Source organism: Homo sapiens, chromosome 12 (genome assembly GCF_000001405.40).
Source record: "Homo sapiens chromosome 12, GRCh38.p14 Primary Assembly".
NCBI classification, from domain to species: Eukaryota; Metazoa; Chordata; class Mammalia; order Primates; family Hominidae; genus Homo; species Homo sapiens.
In genome coordinates this window covers 2,872,487-2,890,260 of record NC_000012.12, presented here as the reverse complement: position 1 = coordinate 2,890,260, position 17,774 = coordinate 2,872,487, and the positions used below count along the sequence as shown (strand labels likewise).

General features: G+C 47.4%; 2 protein-coding genes and 1 long non-coding RNA gene across 37 annotated transcripts in view, besides 3 other annotated features; 1 reads left to right on the top strand and 2 right to left on the bottom strand.

Annotated features, from left to right (window-relative positions):
* RHNO1 (RAD9-HUS1-RAD1 interacting nuclear orphan 1) lies at positions 737-13,996 on the bottom strand. 7 transcript variants are annotated; one of them, NR_046432.2, is made up of 4 exons: positions 12,979-13,038; positions 4,727-4,978; positions 3,150-3,283; positions 737-2,350 (listed from the first exon to the last, which is right to left on the bottom strand). NR_046432.2 is itself a non-coding variant. In NM_001257097.2 (3 exons), the coding sequence occupies exons 2-3, from the start codon at positions 4,892-4,894 to the stop codon at positions 1,802-1,804; spliced, it is 717 nt and encodes a 238-aa protein (NP_001244026.1). In that variant the 5' UTR covers positions 4,895-5,099; positions 12,979-13,038; the 3' UTR covers positions 737-1,801. The 7 variants fall into 7 exon arrangements, 4 of the variants coding, with proteins under 4 accessions (NP_001244026.1, NP_001244027.1, NP_001239428.1 ...); NM_001257097.2 differs by lacking the exon at positions 3,150-3,283 and having other exon boundaries at positions 4,727-5,099; NM_001257098.2 differs by lacking the exon at positions 3,150-3,283 and having other exon boundaries at positions 4,727-4,998.
* Positions 3,935-4,458, bottom strand: LOC124902860 (uncharacterized). Its single transcript, XR_007063160.1, has 2 exons — positions 4,364-4,458; positions 3,935-4,308 (listed from the first exon to the last, which is right to left on the bottom strand). It is a non-coding gene; the product is annotated as an uncharacterized LOC124902860 (long non-coding RNA).
* Positions 10,245-11,198: an enhancer, noted in NCBI's record as "H3K27ac-H3K4me1 hESC enhancer chr12:2988229-2989182 (GRCh37/hg19 assembly coordinates)". NCBI's record gives its function as "activates a minimal SCP1, AML or CMV promoter by ChIP-STARR-seq in naive H9 embryonic stem cells {active_cell/tissue: H9 hESC(naive)}" and the evidence as "EXISTENCE:reporter gene assay evidence [ECO:0000049][PMID:30033119]".
* Positions 12,782-13,221: a silencer, noted in NCBI's record as "silent region_4135". NCBI's record gives its function as "represses an Ori minimal core promoter by ATAC-STARR-seq in GM12878 lymphoblastoid cells {active_cell/tissue: GM12878}" and the evidence as "EXISTENCE:reporter gene assay evidence [ECO:0000049][PMID:35858748]".
* The window catches only part of FOXM1 (forkhead box M1), a 19,495-nt gene continuing 14,807 nt past the window's right edge, over positions 13,087-17,774 (top strand). For all 29 annotated transcript variants that reach the window (XR_931507.2, NM_001413936.1, NM_001413935.1 and 26 more), the window contains exons 1-2: positions 13,087-13,341; positions 15,736-16,284. Coding sequence is in view for 26 of the 29 variants with exons in the window: in NM_001413934.1 (NP_001400863.1) it covers positions 15,783-16,284 (502 nt within the window). In the remaining 3 variants the exon portion in view is untranslated. The remainder of the gene's footprint in view (positions 13,342-15,735; positions 16,285-17,774) is intronic.
* Positions 13,262-13,331: a silencer, noted in NCBI's record as "silent region_4134". NCBI's record gives its function as "represses an Ori minimal core promoter by ATAC-STARR-seq in GM12878 lymphoblastoid cells {active_cell/tissue: GM12878}" and the evidence as "EXISTENCE:reporter gene assay evidence [ECO:0000049][PMID:35858748]".

The window sequence follows — 17,774 nt, the reverse complement described above, 5'->3', positions numbered from 1 at the left end:
ACGAGGGAATCCAGAGACTTTAATTTTTTGAGACAGGGTTTCTCTCTCGCCCAGACTGCAGTGCAGTGGCCCGGTCTCAGCTCACCGCAACCTCCGCCTCCCAGGCTCAAGCGATTCTCCTGCCTCAGCCTGTGGAGTAGCTGGGATTACAGGCAGGGGCCACTACTGCCTGGCTATTTTTCGTATTTTTAGTAGAGATAGGGTTTCACCATGTTGGCCAGACTGGCCTCTTAACTCCCGACCTCAAATGATCCACCCGCCTCAGCCTCCGAAAGTGCTGGGATTACAGGCGTGGGCCCGTCCTGGAGACTCTTTCCATCTACCTTTCTACCTCCTGTGGGCCTTCCTCAAACATCCATAGCCCACCGTGAGAGCCCCTGTCTAAATGTGTACTCTTGTCTCCAATAAATCCCGTCCCCAAATGTCAGTCCCTTTCTCCCTACCGACATGCACATTATAGTCCCTACAAAACATCCTGAGTCCTGACAAGTCACTGCACAAATGGCTTTATGGCGTTCTAAGGTCAAAGTTGTTTCCACATTGGTTTTGAACCTACAAGTTAGTACTTTAGGAGGCACACGCTGAGAGTGGACCGTTACACTGCCTGGGTCAGCGTGCACTCACTGTGTGACCTGTGCATGGTTCATTCTCTGCATCAAACTCCCATCTGTAAAATATACAGTAATCCCTGCTTGATCTAGTTGGGGCTGGACCTGACACAGTAGGTCCAGCTGAATGAATGCTAAATGAATGGGTTTAATGAGATGCTACTTGTCTGAGTAAAAGGCCGAGACATTCGGTTGACTGGGGAAGTCCTTCTGCATTAATTACAATAAGTAATACTCATTGAAAACTTTCCTTATTTACACACAGTTGAACAGTTATTCTAAGAAACCATTTTCCCACCCTATTTAATATTGACAGATTTCTTCAGTTAGAAACAAAAACTCAAAACACACGCAATCCTAAAGAACTCATCTATGTCCCCCTTATCTCCCCTCATCTTATGTAGTCCCTAAAACAGGGCTTGCTGCCCTTTCTTCTTCTTGCCTTTTCAGCAGATGAGTCAAGGTTGCAGAGGTGGCAGTCAACCATAGAGTCACAGAGTTTGATTTTTTTCCATCCATCAGGTCGTAGAAGCTGCCACTGAGCCTGACAAGAGTTGGTACTCAAAAATGCAGAATGAATTAGTTTGAATGAGGTGATTAAGGATTAATGAGTAGTGGTTAAGGAAACAAAGACCATTAGTGGATGGGGTAATATTGCTGTATTACTGATGGAAGCAGGATTCTCTAAAAAAACTTTCTGCAGCCATTTACTTACATACATTTTAAAGAGTTACTACAAGATATTTTAAAAATTTAAACAGTTAATACAAGAAAAATATGAAGTGAATAGTTCATGACACTAAACTGAACTGTTCATGACACAAAGTATCTTAGAAAACAAATCTCGGCTGGGCCAGCACTTTGTGAGGTCAAGGCCAGCAGATGACTTGAGGTCAGGATTTTGAGACCAGCCTGGCCAACATGGAGAAACCACATCTCTACTAAAAATACAAAAAAATTAGCCAGGCATGGTGGCTGGTGCCTGTAATCCCAGCTACTGGGGAGGCTGAGGCAGGAGAATCGCTTGAACCCAGGAAGTGGTGGTTGCAGTAAGGTGAGATCATACCACTGCACTCCAGCCTGGGCAACAGAGCAATATTACATCTCAAAAACAAAAACAAAAACCCTAGGAATTGAATTCCTTTATGACTCCAGAAAACATATCTCTTTTCTATTGAGATTACTGATGGCAGTCAGCTTTTCACAAGGAATTGGCTTCTGCTCAGCTTCCCTCTCTCCCTGAGGTAAGCAAGCAGGTGCTGTCGTCTCCTCCATGTGACCTTTATTCCATACTTGTCCTCGGGGGTGTCTTTAACCAGAACAGGTCCAGGCTCTGGGCTATTAGGAGTGCCAGTGTGAAGAGTGCAGCTTAGAAGGCTGTTTTCCTTCTGATCTTGGGGAATGAGTTCTTCCTTCACAGACGATGACTCTGGGGTCTGGATATCAGGTGGAATGAACACATAAGGTAAGCTCTGAAGTGCCTGCACTGACATGTTCCCACAGCTTTGGGGACTGAGCACTGGAACTAAGGGTCTTCTGGAAACATCCTTTTCTGATTCACTGGGGCACTCTCGGATTAAGGGGATCCCCAATGTCTCTGAACTGGAAGATTGCGGACTCTCAAAAGTTAGATGTGGAAACTTGGAGGTGGTAGGTTTTCGACTTGAGTGTCTCGCCCGGTTTTGGTGTTTCTGGTAGGCTGGGAACAAGCTTCCTGCTGCTGTATCAAAATCAGGTGATACCTTAAAAAAAAAAAAAAAGTGAGGTGAGCCTAACTAAGTACTAACCTAAGAGAGGAAACTGTATCTGATGACCAGACTCTTAAATCGGGGTCTACTGTAGTAATGAACACAAAACTAAAATAACTGTCTAATGGCATAATAACAGGAAGCTTTGGGCAAATTATTCCATCTCTCCGGCCTTCAGCTTCCTCATGTGTAGGAAAGGGGACGATGTCTCTTTCACTTCATCACACCATATGGATATAACTTTTTTTCTTCCCCCTGGGATGGAGTCTCACTCCGACGTCTAGGCTGGAATGCAGCGGCACCATCTCGGCTCATTGCAACCTCTGTCTCCCAGTTCAAGTGATTCTCCTGCTTCAGCTTCCCGAGTAGCTGGGACTACAGGCGCCTGCCACCACGCCCAGGTATTTTTTTTTTTTTTTTTTTTTTGGAGACAGAGTTTTGCTCTTGTCGCCCAGGCTGGAGTGCAATGGCAGGTCTCTGCTCACTGCAACCTCCGACTCCCTGATGCAAGCGATTCTGCTGCCTAAGCTTCCCGTGTAGCTGGGAATATAGGTGCGCACCACCACGACCAGTTAATTTTTGTATTTTTAGTAGAGACAGGATTTTACCATGTTGACCAGGCTGACCTTGAACTCTTGACCTCAGGTGATCCACCCACCCCGGCCTTCCAAAGTGCTGGGATTACAGGCATGAGTCACGGCACCCAGCCAATTTTTATATTTTTAATAGAGTCAGAGTTTCACCGTGTTGGCCAGACTGGTCTCAAACTCCTGACCTCAAGTGATCCACCCACCTCAGCCTCCCAAAGTGCTGGGATTACAGGCGTAAGCCACAACACCTGGTCTAGATATAACTTATTTATCTTTAAACTTCATGAGGGTAGGGACCAGTGGTCTTGTTCTTGATTCCCAGCACCTAGCAGAATGCCTGGAACAAAGAAGGCCCTCAGTTAATGAATAGCCAACTCCAAGCATAGCGGGTGAGAACTAGCAGAGGACCTGGCATATAATGAATATTCAATAAATGTTCATTCCTACTCTCATCCACAGGATTCTGATGTTTAGGTTTCTTCCACAATCCTGTAGCAGGTATTATGGTTCTTCCAAGCAGTCCTGAATAAGTTACATTTATTAAATACTCCTAAGCCAAGCTTATGCTTTTGTCTGGCCCTTTTACTATACTACTTTCCTGTTGTATAGTAGCTATATTCTCTTCCCAGGGTTTCTATTTTTTTTTTTTTTTTTTTTTTGAGACAGGGTCTCACACTGTTGCCCAGGCTGGAGTGCAGTAGCACAATCTTGGCTCACTACAGCCTTGACCTCCCGGTTCAAGAGATCTGCCCACCTTAGCCTCCCAAGTAGCTGGGACTACAGGTGCGCACCACCATGCCCAGCTAATTTTTCTATTAATATTTTTAGTAAAGATGGGGTTTCACCATGTTGCCCAGGCTGGTCTCGAACTCCTGGGCTCAAGCAATCCTCCTTCCTTGGCCTCCCAAAGTTCTAGGATTACAAACATGAGCCACCACACCCGGCCTCTCTTCCCAGGGCTTTTAAGCGGTCAAAATATGACATATGCTATTCTTATGGGGTTTTATTTTTCAAGGTTCAATCCATTACACAATAAACAGAGTATCTAGCCAAGTACTCCACCTTTCACATGAAGTTGAGGGAACAATCTCATTTTTAACTTGTTCTGCCATTTATCTGGCATTCTCACCCAGCTAATGGGTAAAAAAACTTTTACAATGAACTCTTTCAGAGGAAAATAGGGGAAGAGAAAGACTCCAGTTCCAACTAACCCGTTCCTCAGTTTGAACTGAGAAAAGAAGATGTACCAGGGAAGATGGCTGGCCACAGACAGAATACATTAACTCCTTGCCCCCGCCCCCATGAATCTTATTCTTTGGAGTCCCTGGTTCAAGGGGCAGAAGAGTCAGCATTCTGGAAAACCTAACAGAGTAAAAGTCAAAGTAGGCCGGGCAGAAGAGTCAGCATTCTGGAAAACCTAACAGAGTAAAAGTCAAAGTAGGCCGGGCGCGGTGGTTCACGCCTATAATCCCAGCATTTTGGGAGGCCGAGGCGGGCGGATCACGAGGTCAGGAGATAGAGACCATCCTGGCTAACACGGTGAAACCCCATCTCTACTGAAAATACAAAAAAATTAGCCGGGCGTGGTGGCGGGTGCCTGTAGTTCCAGCTCCTCGGGAGGCTGAGGCAGGAGAATGGTGTGAACCCAGGAGGCGGAGCTTGCAGTGAGCCAAGATCGCGCCACTGTGCTCCAGCCTGGGCGATAGAGCGAGACTCCGTCTCAAAAAAAAAAAAAAAAAAAAAAAAAAAAAAATGTCAAATAGTAATCCCATGGGCCTACCCAGGAAGTGATGGTGCTGTGGTCAATGGGCTTGCTGGGCACCTGTCGAGTGTGAGTGATGGGAAGCTGTGTAGATGCACAGCTGTGTTTGGGGCCCTCCAGTGGTTGTTGGTGGAACAGCAGCGGGGCTTTCTGGGAAGGCTGGCGGCGTTTTTTTCTGGGAGGCATCAACCGGTGAATGAGGAACAGTTAGTAACCACATGATGCTGTTAGCCTTCGGGTTGGGGGATAGGCTCCAATTCCAACCCATGCCTGTAGAGAAGAAACAAAAGCTGGGAGCAAATAATTCAGATGATTCCCCAGTTCTTCCTGATCCTCTGCCAGCCAATTCTACCATAAACTTCAAGGCTTTGGGGAGCACAGCCTCCTATACCTACAACCACCAAGCAAAACACAATATTCATATTCAACATTCATCTAACGAACATTTATTGAGTATGTGCTAAGTGTCATGCTGGGTGCTGGGAATTTAAAGATGAATAACCATTTATTCAACAATCATTAACTGAGTGCAAAGCACTTGTAGTGATACAGAGGTCATCCCTGTTTCGAGGAGCTGAAAGTCTAGCAAAGGGAAACAGACATTTACAACACTGTATGAGAATACAGTATGGTTCCATTCATTCCAAAGGAGGCTTTCTGGAAAGGGAGATACCTGACCTAGGTATGAAAGGCATAGAAGAAACAAAAAAGCAAGGAGGGCACTCCAGCCTGAGGAACAGTGTACACAAAGGCATGGAGACGAGACGGAGTATTGTGAATTCTGGGAATTACAAATTCAATGTATCTGGACACAGTATGAGAAGATAAATGGCAAGAACTCAGGATAAACATGGTGTCAGGCTGAGGTTAAAAAAAAAAATAGGTGACATGGCTGGGTGAGGGGGCTTACGCCTGTAATCCCAGCACTTTGGGAGGCTGAGGCAGGCGGATCACCTGAGGTCAGGAGTTTGAGACCAGGCTGGCCAACATGGTGAAACCTCGTCTCTACTAAAAATACAAAAGTTAGGCTGGGAGTGGTGGCTCACGCCTCTAATCCCAGCACTTTGGGAGGCTGAGGCAGGCTGATCACTTTAGGCCAGGAGTTCAAGGCCAGCCTGGCCAACATGGCAAAATCCCACCTCTACTAAAAATACAAAAACTAGCTGGGCGTGGTGGCACATGCCTGTAGTCCCAGCTACTCAGGAGGCTGAGGATCACTTGAACCCAGGAGATGGAGGTTGCAATGAGCTGAGATTGCGCAACTGCACTCCAGCCTGGGCAGCAGAGCTAGACTCTGTCTCAAACAAACAAACAAACAAAAAAGATTAGCCGGGTGTGGTGGTGCATGCCTGTAATCCGAACTACATGGGAGACTGAGGCAGGAGAATCGCTTGAACCTGGGAGGTGGAGGTTACAATGAGCCGAGATTGCACCACTGCACTCCAGCCTGGGAGACAAAGCGAGACTCGTCTCCAAAACAAACAAACAAACAAATAAAAAAAAACAGGTGACACCATATGAGTTTGGACTTTAAGCAGAAGAATTTGATCCCACCTGGCTTTTAAAAAATTTTTCACTCCAGATAATGTCAAATATATACTAAAGTAGACTGAATAATGTAATGGACCCTGTGTACCAATTATCCAGCTCCAATAACTGTCGGCTAGGCTAATCCTGACCCATCTACACCCCTAGCCACTTCTTCTATCCCTGGATTATTTGGAAGAAAATATATTTGGCCGGGCGCGGTGGCTCATGCCTGTAATCCCAGCACTTTAGAAGGCCGAGGCGGGTGGATCACCTGAGGTCGGGAGTTCGAGACCAGCCTGACCAACGTGGAGAAACCCTGTCCCTACGAAAAATACAAAATTAGCTGGGCGTGGTGGCACATGCCTGTAATCCCAGCTACTCGGAGGCTGAGGCAGGAGAATCGCTTGAACCCGGGAGGCGGAGGTTGCGGTGAGCAGAGATCACGCCATTGCACTCCAGCCTGGGCAACAAGAGTGAAACTCCGTCTCAAAAAAAAAAAAAAAAAAAAAAATATATATATATATATATATATATATATATATATATTCTATCCTTCCCATTAATATGACTAAACAAATATATAAATTCTTTAACATTAACAAATATCCAGCCAGCCAGTGTTCCCATTTTCTTTTTTTTCTTTTTTTCGAGATAGGGTCTCATCTGTTGCCTAGGCTAGAGTACAGTAGCATGATCATGGCTCACCACAGCCTTGACCTCCCAGGCTCAGGTGATCCTCCCACCTCAGCCTCCCAAGTAGCTGGGACTACAGCTCGTGCCACAGCGCTGGCTAATTTTCGTATTTTTGTAGAAATAGGGTTTCGTTGTATTGCCCAGGCTAGTCTTGAATTCCTGAGCTCAAGCTATCTGCGCACCTCAGCCTCCCAAAGTGCTGGAATTACAGGTGTGAGCCACCACACCCCAGGTTTTCTATGTGTTTTTTTTTTTTTTTTTTTGAGACAGGGCCTTGCTCTGTCACCTAGGCTGGAGTGCAGTGGTGTGATCATGGATCATTGCAGCCTCAACCTCTAAAGCCCAAGCAATCCTCCCACATCAGCTTCCTGAGTAGCTGGAACTACAAGCAAGCACACTGCACCTGGTTAACTTTTTTTGAAACATTTTTTATAGAGATGAGGTCTCACTGTGTTGCCTAGGCTGGTCTCAAATTCCTGGGCTCAACCAATCCTTCCCTCCTTAGCCTTCCAAAATACTGGGATTACTAGCAGTTCTTTAGATAGGCCTTCCCTAATAACTATGTCTAAAATAACAGTCAACTCAACCCCTTGACCTGTTTGATTTTTCTCTATACTTTTATCTTTTGAGACGGAGTCTCACTCTTTCGTCCAGGCTGGAGTGCAGTGGCTTGATCTTGGCTCACTGCAACCGCCACCTCCCGAGTTCAAGAAATTCTCCACCCTCAGCCTCCCCAGTAGGTTAGATTACAGTCACCTGCCACAATGCTTGGCTAATTTTTATATTTTAAGTAGAGATGAGGTTTCACCATTTTGGCCAGGCTGGTCTTGAACTCAGTTGAGACCTCAACTGATCTGCCTGCCTCGGCCTCCCAAAGTGCTGGGGTTACAAGCGTGAGCCACCATGCCTGGCCCCTCTGGTAGCCTTCTAACTGAGTTCCCTGCTTCCTTTTTCCACCCCCATCTCCAACCCGACTTTTCTCACAAGGTGCCTAGAGCATCTTTTTTTAAAGTTTTATTTATTTATTTATTTATTTATTTATTTATTTATTGTAGAGACAGGGTCTTGCTTTGTTGCCCAGACTAGTCTGGAACTCCTAGGCTCAAGCAATCCTTCTGCCTCGCCCACCCAAAGTGTTGGGATTACAGGCATGAGCCACCACGCCTGGCCCAGATCAACTTTAATAAGGGCTTCTTTGGTGGAATGGTGGGACACAAGGTTGAATGCAATAGGTAGAGAGGTAAATGAGAGTTGCAGCTGAGCATGCTGGAAAGACACAACAGAGCAGGTTGGTTCTATGCATTTGTGATCCATTCAATCAACAACAAAAAATAATATGCTTTGACTTATATGACTAGGCAGTAGAGATACAGGTTAAGAAAAAAAAGGACACAGTTTCTCTTTTTTTCTTTCTTTTTTTTTTTTTTGATGGAGTCTTGCTCTGTTACGCAGGCTAGAGTACAGTGGCGCGATCTTGGCTCACCACAACCTCTACCTCCTGGGTTCAAGCGATTCTCCTGCCTCAGCTTCATGAGTTGCTGGGACTACAGGCGCACGCCACCATGCCTAGCTAATTTTTGTATTTTTAGTAGAGACGGGGTTTCGCTATGTTGACCAGGCTGGTCTCGAACTCCTGACCTCGTGATCCACCCGCCTCGGCCTCCCAAAGTGCTGGGATTACAGGCGTGAGCCACCATGTCCAGCCAAAGTTTCTATTCTTAAGGAACTAACATCTTATAGAAAACACAAAAAATATATATATCCATTTGTTCATTCACTCATTCATTCACTTGAGAAATATTTACTGAGTGCCTACTGTGTGCTAGGCACTGTTCCAGGTGCTGAAAATATATACCAGAGAATAACATAAAACCTCTGCCCTTGTGGTGCTTACATTCTAGTCGGAAAGGAATAAAAAGTATAGAGAGGCCGGGCGCAGTGGCTCATGCCCTTAATACCAGCAGTTTAGGGAGCTGAGGCGGGCAGATTACTTGAAGTCAGGAGTTCAAGACCAGCCTGCCCAACATGGTGAAACCCCATCTCTACTAAAAATACAAAAATTAGCCAGGCGTCATGGCACACACCTATAATCCCTGCTACTCAGGAGGCTGAGACAGGAGAATCGCTTGAACCCGGGAGGCGGAGGTTGCAGTGAGCCGAGATCACGCCACTGCACTCCAGCCTGGGCAACAGAGCGAGATTCAGTCTAGAAAACAAACAAACAAAAAGCTACCACAGAAATCCAGTGAAAAGATAACAGTGGTAGCAATGGCTATAGTTTTGAAATTCATGACTTGCTGAAAGTCATCAGCTTCAAATGGGTACGTTGCTCAGCAATCCTGTTTCCTTGATCAACTCATTCTCCACAAAGATTATCTTAAAACTTCTCCAAGCTAGGTGCAGTAGCTCACGCCTGTAATCCCAGAACTTTAGGAGGCTGAGATGGGAGGACTGCTTGAGGCCAGGAGTTCAAGACCAGCCTGGGCAACATAGAGAGACCTCGTCTCTACTACAAATTTAAAAGAATAATTAGCTTGGCATGTTGGCATGTACCTGTAGTCCCAGCTACTTGGGAGGCTGAGGTGGGAGGATCACTTGAGCCTGGGAATTTGAAGATATGGTGAGCTATGATCGTGCCACTGCACTCTAGCCTAGGTGACAGACAGACCCTATCTCAAAATAAATAAATAAAGTGGAAATTTTGTTTGTTTGTTTTGAGACAAAGTCTCACTCTGTTGCCCAGGCTGGAGTGCAGTAGCGTGATCTCGGCTCACTGCAACCTCCTCCTAGGTCCAAGCGATTCTCCTGCCTCACTCTCCCAAGTAGCTGGGATTACAGGCGCCCTCACCACGCCCAGCTAATTATAGTATTTTTTAGTAGAGATGGGGTTTCACCACGTTGGCCAGACTGGTCTTGAACTCCTGACCTCAGGTGATCTGCCCACCTCGGCCTCCCAAAGTGCTGGGATTACAGGCGTGAGCCACCACGCCCAGCCTGAACATTTTTATTTTAATTTTTAAAATTATTTTTAGAGATGGGGTCCTGTTCTGTTGCCCAGGCTGGAGTACAGTGACACGATCATAGCTCACTGCAGCCTCAAACTCTTGGGCTCGAGAGATCCTCTTGCCTCAGCCTCCCGAATAGCTGGGAATACAGACAAGCACCACCACACCTGGTTAGTTTCTTATTTTATTTTTTGTAGAGATGAGGTCTTGCTTGAACTCCTGGGCTCAAGTGATTCTCCTCCCTCAGCCTCCTGAAGTGCTAGGATTACATGTGAATCACCACACCCTGCCCACTTTCTTAGAACTTCAGAACACCCCTTTTCTCTTAACAAATGACTTTACTTCCTACTTGACAAAGAATACAGAAGACATCAAAGGAAATACTCTCATTTTCCAGAAAGCAAATATACAAACCTATGCGTATCAACATCTATCTTCTTTCTGCTCTAATTAGAGGTCAGTTCATTCTGCTGTCTAAGTCCTTCCCCTCTGGTTGTGCTTTGGAGCTGTTCTCACTCTATATACTTTTCTTAGGCAAACTCATCTGCCTGTATTTCAGTATCCACCTAGAAGTAGATGACTTCAATATTTATATATTTTAGAATTCCTTAAGTTTGGGACCCAAATATCCCATTACCTACCTGAACAGCAACTAGATATTTCAAACGCACCTCAAATTCAACATGTGTAAGGCTGAGCGCAGTGGCTCACGCCTGTAATCCCAGCACTTTCAGAGGCCGGGGTGGGCAGATCGCTTGAGCTCATGAGTTTGAGACCAGCCTGGGCAACACAGTGAAACCCAAATTCTACAAAAAATACAAAAAATCAGGTGGGCACGGCTGCGTGCACCTGTAGTCCCAGCTACTCAGGAGGCTGAGGTGGGCAGATCACTTGAGCCCAGGAGGTGGAGGCTGCAGTGAGCCGAGATCGTGCCACTGAACTCCAGCCTGAGTGACAGAGCCAGAACCTTGTTTCAAAAAAAGAAAAGAAAAAAAAATTCAACAAGTTTAAAACTGAACTTGGCCGCGCACAGTGGCTCATGCCTGTAATGCCAACACTGTGAAAGGTGAAGGTGGGAGGATCACTTGAACCGAATAGTTCAAGATCAATCTGGGCAACAGAGTGAGACCCTGTCTCTACAAAAGATACAAAAATTAGATGGGTGTAGTGGCATGTGCCTGTAGGGGGTCCCAGCCATTCAGGAGGCTGAGGTGGGAGGATCACCTGAGCCCAGGAGGTTGAGGTTGTAGTGAGCCAAGGTCATGCCACTGGACTTCAGCCTGGGGGACAGAGCAAGACCCTGTCTCTAAAAAATAAAAAGATAAATAAAAATAAATATATAATTAAAAAAAAAACTCATTCTGAGCATTGCTTTGTAGTAAAAAAACAAAAACTGAATTCACGATCATTCCCCTGACAACCCCCCGCCCGTCCCTTGGCCAAAGTGATTATCTTCCAGGGCCCTTGGTCAGGGAATAGTGTCATTATTCCTTCAGTTATGCAGCTGAAAATCTTGACACTTCTACCTCCCATCCAACCCACCATCAAGCCCTGTCAACTTTACCTCTTAAACATGTTTTCTTAATGCCCCTTTTTTACTCTCTCTGTCTCCTTCTTTCTCTTCCTCTCTCTCTCTCCCTGCCACCCTTTTTCAAGCTCCAGCAGTTCTTGCCTGGAGTATTGCAACATCCAACTGTTCTGCCCTAATCCACTCTAGCAATCCCCGCTATAGAGGGACCTTTTAAAATGCAAATCTGACCTGGATTCACTTCTGCTTAAAGCTTATGACTGGTTTCCTTTAATTCTTGGATAAGCACAAAACTTCTCGGTATGGCTAAGGCTCTGCTTCCTCCGGCTCCAGCTTCAACTCACACCACACTCCATTCAGGTCGATTAGCTCAAACCCCTCAGATATTTCTCAGCCTTTGTACTCACTGTGCTTCCTCCTGCCATCCAGCCTTTGCACGCCTGATTCCCTCTGCTTAGAGGAGTTCCCTCCTTTCTTTGTAAAAGGCATCAGATCTCACACCAAGCTCTCATTACAAAAGCCTTTCCTGTCCTACCTCTCAAGATCTCGTTATTGTAAATACTCAAAGTATCATTAACCTCTAATGTTTCAATTTACAGCAATAATTCAACATTTGTTTGTTTTGGAGACGGTGTCTCCCTCTGTCGCCCAGGCTGGAGTGCAGTGGTGTGATCATGGCTTACCATAGCCTCCACCTCTCGGCCTCAGGTGATCCTTCCACCTCAGCCTCCAGAGTAGCTGGGACTACAGGCACGCACCACCACGCCCGGCTAATTTTTAGTAGAGAAGCGGTTTCGCTATGTTGCCAGGCTGGTCTCGAACTCGTGACCTCAAGTGATCCACCCGCCTCGGCCTCCTAAAGTGCTGGGATTACAGGCGTGAGCCACTATGCCCAGCCCACATTTGTTTATTTGATTAAAATGTCTGTGCCCCTCTTCCAGGATTGGGCTGTGAGCCCAGGGGAAGGAAAGAACCTTGTCTGCCATTGTATCTTCAGGGCCTAGCGGTGCCTGGCGCACAGCAGTTGCTCAACTAGACTGGTTGACTAAGTCAATAAATAAAGCACTACGGTCTATTATATCCGAAGGCTTGGCTTCGGGAGGGGCAAAAGACAGGTTTCGCGCTGAGGTAGGGTTCATGGTGCCGACATTTTTTTTCAAGATGGAAGAAAGCGGAGATAATACGCAGCCCTCAAAGGAACTTAGTCTAATCGGGGGGAGCAGACGATCGTTCACTGTGGGAAAATGGGGTACGATTTCCCCCAGTGAGGAAATCAACTAAAGCCGAGCTTTGAAAAGGGGAGCAGAGGAGCCTGAGGGGAAGCGGGGGCGTGTCGCCTGGCGTGACCAGCGCGGCAGGAAAAGCGGGCCCAGGGACCCGGGCCTGTCACGCCGCTTCCGCGCGTCCCCAAACTCTCCCTCGGCTCGCCCACCCACGCGGCGGGGACCCCTCCGGCCCCTCCCCGGCCCCACGGCCACTTCTTCCCCCACAAGCCGGCCTGCGGTCCGCCTTACCAGCCCGGGCCGGACGGGGCCGCAGCTCCTGGCAGACCGCACAGCCTTCGAGCCCGGAATGCCGAGACAAGGCCGGCGCCGATTGGCGACGTTCCGTCACGTGACCTTAACGCTCCGCCGGCGCCAATTTCAAACAGCGGAACAAACTGAAAGCTCCGGTGCCAGACCCCACCCCCGGCCCCGGCCCGGGACCCCCTCCCCTCCCGGGATCCCCCGGGGTTCCCACCCCGCCCGCACCGCCGGGGACCCGGCCGGTCCGGCGCGAGCCCCCGTCCGGGGCCCTGGCTCGGCCCCCAGGTTGGAGGAGCCCGGAGCCCGCCTTCGGAGCTACGGCCTAACGGCGGCGGCGACTGCAGTCTGGAGGTGAGCGGGATGCAGCAATGGAGTCCCAGGCCTGGCCTGGGCACAGGCGGGGAGCAAGGCCTCCGGGCGCGGAGGTCAGGGCGTCTAGCAGCAGGGCACGGGCCACGAGTGGAGATTTGGGTCACACGGGAAGAATCTGAGCCAGGGTGCAAGTTTTTTCTGCGTCCACCTCCTGGCCGTGGCCTTCTCACTGCTTAAAGCGCCCCTTGGCCTTCCCTGGAAGTCTGACCTCCGCACCCTGCCCGCGGCCTCGGGAGGGCTGGGGTGGCCTACCTTCTTAGGCCGACTGTGGCTGAGATGAAGACTGAGATTGTACTACATTGAGTCAAAGACCAACCTGCATACACACTCCCCTGCTCCCAGGCTGTCTCACCACTAGGCAACACCGCCTCCATCTTACTTACCCTTTTGCAGGGCCCTTTTCCTGGTTCTTGAGAATGTAGCAAGATTTCCCCGCTCAGGATGGGGATGGGTCGGAGGAGCCACTCTGGAAGTTTCCCGGGCAAGAAAGTGTTGGCAATAATAATAACGGGCTGGTCAGGAAGTAGAAGAGAAAATTAAGACTTAGATATCCTGTGGAAAAAGAGGAATAATATCTACTGATTGATGCGGGGAGAGAGGGAAGCCTGGAAAGATCGGAGGTGAAAGTAAAACTGAGATTTGAAGGTAGAGGTGTGGAGGGCCTGTGAACTCTATGCAGATGACAAATGTCAAAAAAGTGCAGTTGCTTTTCAGGGAGAGAATAAGTGTCCTAAAAAAGAGACAGCCAATTCCTCTGTCTTCCAAAGTTCCGTGAAATAGAATTACACAATTTTGCTTAATGGTAGAATATTCCATGTATCTATTAAAATCAACAAAAGGCCGGGCGCAGTGGCTCACGCCTGTAATCCCAGCACTTTGGGAGGCCGAGGCGGGTGGATCACCTGAGGAGTTCAAGACCAGCCTGGCAAACATGGTGAAACCCTGTTTCTACTAAAAAAAAAAAAAAAAAATTAGCTGGGCATGGTGGTGCATGCCTGTAATTGCAGCTACTCGGGAGGCTGAGGCAGGAGAATCGCTTGAACCCGGGAGGCCGAGGTTGCAGTGAGCTGAGATTGCGCCATTGCACTCCAGCCTGGGTGACAAGAGCGAAGCTCCGTCTCAAAAAAAAAAAAAAAATTAAAAAAAATCAACAAAAGACTTAAAAAAAAAAGACTACACTGTTAGCATTTCAGAACCACCTTAGTGTAATGATGATAGCTCATTGTGGTACTAAGAAGACAGGGGTTATAGTCTTATTTCTGGAAAAGAAATTAATAAAGTGGCATGCTTAGTTAAAATATATATAACCACATGCAAGTACTAAAATGCCACTGTATAAATACAATACAAATTGTAAAAGAAAACATGCTTTTTAAATTAGAGCAAGTATAATAGCCTGTGAAATAAATGTCACCCTCTAGAGTTGTTCAGTGCACAAGCTGCACAACTTTACATGGGCCTTCAGTAGAGGTTTCCATTTTATGTGAGGTTTTGTAAACTGGGAGATGATTTTTCCAGTAGTGTGGCAATAGTACAATCTGCCTTTCTTCCCTGATTCTGTGTGCACTGGTCCTATTTACAAAGTAATATAAAAATCAAAAGGCTTGGCCAGACGCGGTGGCTCACGCCTGTAATCCCAGCACTTTGGGAGGCCGAGGCGGGCAGATGACCTGAGGTCAGGAGTTTGAGACCAGCCTGAGCAACATGGTGAAACCCTGTCTCTACTAAAAATACAAAAACTAGCCGGGCGTGGTGGTGGGCACCTGTAATCCCAGCTACTCAGGAGGCTGAGACGTGGGACTCGCTTAAACCCAGGAGGCAGAGGTTGCAGTGAACTGAGATCGTGCCACTGCACTCCAGCCTGGGTGACAAAGTGAGACTCTGTCTCAAAAAAAAAAAAAAAAAAAAAATTAAAATCCTTTGTCTTGAATGGATTATGGGATCAGAGTTTCATCAGGACTCCTAATTACCATATGCTTTCCTATTCTAGCATCTTCCATTTCTGTCCATACAGTCATTGCAAGTGATCTATTTATATTATAGTAGGCAATTATAGAGATTTCCACATATTTGTAGCTATCCCATCCATTTCTGTAGCCAAATATTCTGAAGCTTCAAGGAGATCTTTGTCTTATCTCCAACCCAGTCCCATTTTTGCCCTTTGAATTGCTTCTGTCTGCTGTAATTTTAGCCTTCTTTTGTCAGTAAAGCTTATCTCCTTATTATCTGAGGTCTTTACAAAAGTCCATGGAATGTTTACCTGGGCCTTTAGGCTCATGTTCCTGGTCATATAAAGAGGAGCACCTTTCTCTAAAAGGACCTCTTCTCAGCCTAAACAATCTCTAACATCTTGCCACTATTTGCATTTTCCAGGGTCCACACTTGTGATTCTCAATGGAGAGTGAAAACGCAGATTCATAATGAAAACTAGCCCCCGTCGGCCACTGATTCTCAAAAGACGGAGGCTGCCCCTTCCTGTTCAAAATGCCCCAAGTGAAACATCAGAGGAGGAACCTAAGAGATCCCCTGCCCAACAGGAGTCTAATCAAGCAGAGGCCTCCAAGGAAGTGGCAGAGTCCAACTCTTGCAAGTTTCCAGCTGGGATCAAGATTATTAACCACCCCACCATGCCCAACACGCAAGTAGTGGCCATCCCCAACAATGCTAATATTCACAGCATCATCACAGCACTGACTGCCAAGGGAAAAGAGAGTGGCAGTAGTGGGCCCAACAAATTCATCCTCATCAGCTGTGGGGGAGCCCCAACTCAGCCTCCAGGACTCCGGCCTCAAACCCAAACCAGCTATGATGCCAAAAGGACAGAAGTGACCCTGGAGACCTTGGGACCAAAACCTGCAGCTAGGGATGTGAATCTTCCTAGACCACCTGGAGCCCTTTGCGAGCAGAAACGGGAGACCTGTGGTATGTGGTCTTCCAGGGAAAGGGGTGAGGGAGCCCAGCCTTTCCTCTGTAGTGGCAAGGTGTGTAGTCAGTCTTGATGCTTACAACAGTCAGGCTTCTGGCCGAGCACAGTGGCTCATCCCTGTAATCCCAGCACTTTGGGAGGCTGAGGCGGGCGGATCACTTGAGGTCAGCAGTTTGGACTAGCCTGGCCAACATGGTGAAACCCGTCTCTACTAAAAATATAAAAAAACTAGCCGAGCGTGGTGGCACACGTCTGTAGTCCCAGCTACTCTGGAGGCTGAGGCAGGAGAATCGCTGAACCTGGGAGGTGGAGGTTGCAGTGAGCTGAGATTATGCCACTGCACTCCAGCCTGGCCACAGAGGGAGACTCTGTCTCAAAAAAAAAAATAAAAATGAAAAAAGAAGGGGTCTCAAAAATAAATAAATGAAGAAGGGGTCTCACTATGTTGCCCAGGCTGGTCTCGGACTCCTGAGCTCAAGGGATCCAACCATATGGGCCTCCCAAGGTGCTGGGATTATAGGCATGAACGACAGCGCCTGACTTCATTTTCCTTCTTTTTTTTTTTTTTTTTTTTGAGATGGAGTCTTGCTCTGTTGCCCAAGCTGTAGTGCAGTGGTGCAATCTCAGCTCACTGCAATCTCCACCTTCTGGGTTCAAGTGATTCTCCTGCCTCAGCCTTCTGAGTAGCTGGGATTACAGGCACCCGCCACCACACCTGGCTAATTTTGGTATTTTTTAGTAGAGACAGGGGTTTGCCATGTTAGCCAGGTTGGTCTTGAACTCCTGACCTCAGGTGATTCGCCCACCTCGGCCTCCCAAAGTGCTGGGATTACAGGTGTGAGCCACTGCGCCTGGCCTCATTTTCCTTCTTGATAAAGGAGAAAACTGAAGCAAGAGGAGGAAAATGACTTTTTCTTTAGAGATGCGGTCTCGCACTGTCACCCAGGCTAGAGTGCAGTGGCGCAATCACGGCTCACTCTAGCCTCGAATGCCTGGACTCAAGCCATTCTCCCACATCAGCCTCCCAAGTAGCTGGGACTATAGGCATGCACCATCATTCCCAGTTAATTTTTTTTTTCTTTTTGCAGAGATGGGGTCCCACTATATTGCCCAGGCTGAAAAGTGACTTTTTTGGTGTGCATATCTCAATAATTCTTTTGTAAGCCTGCCTTGATTGATCTCTAAGGCTCAGTGTGGCTCAGCTTGAAATGCAATTTGAACTATGCTCCTAAATTTGTCCTGAAATGCATAATGGGGCAGAGTAACTTAGAGCCACAATAGATTCAGCATGTGTTCTCCGTCCCTAAAGGCAGAGGTCTTGGACAAGTGATCCCTAGCCACCAATTCTTTCTTTTTTATTTTTTATTTTTCTGAGACAGAGTCTCACTCAGGCTGGAGTGTAGTGGCGCAATGTTGGCTCACTGCAGCCTTCGTCTCCCGGGTTCGAGCAATTCTCCTGTCTCAGCCTCCTGAGTAGCTGGGACTA

What these genes read in the sequence shown, in the direction of transcription:
- RHNO1 (NM_001257097.2), bottom strand. Translation starts at nt 4,894, where the DNA reads ATGCCTCCCAGAAAAAAACGCCGCCAGCCTTCCCAGAAAGCCCCGCTG. An exon ending in ACAGCACCATCACTTCCTGG is followed by an intron (nt 2,351 to 4,726) that starts GTAGGCCCATGG and finishes TTTTTTTTTAAG; the next exon opens with GTATCACCTGATTTTGATAC.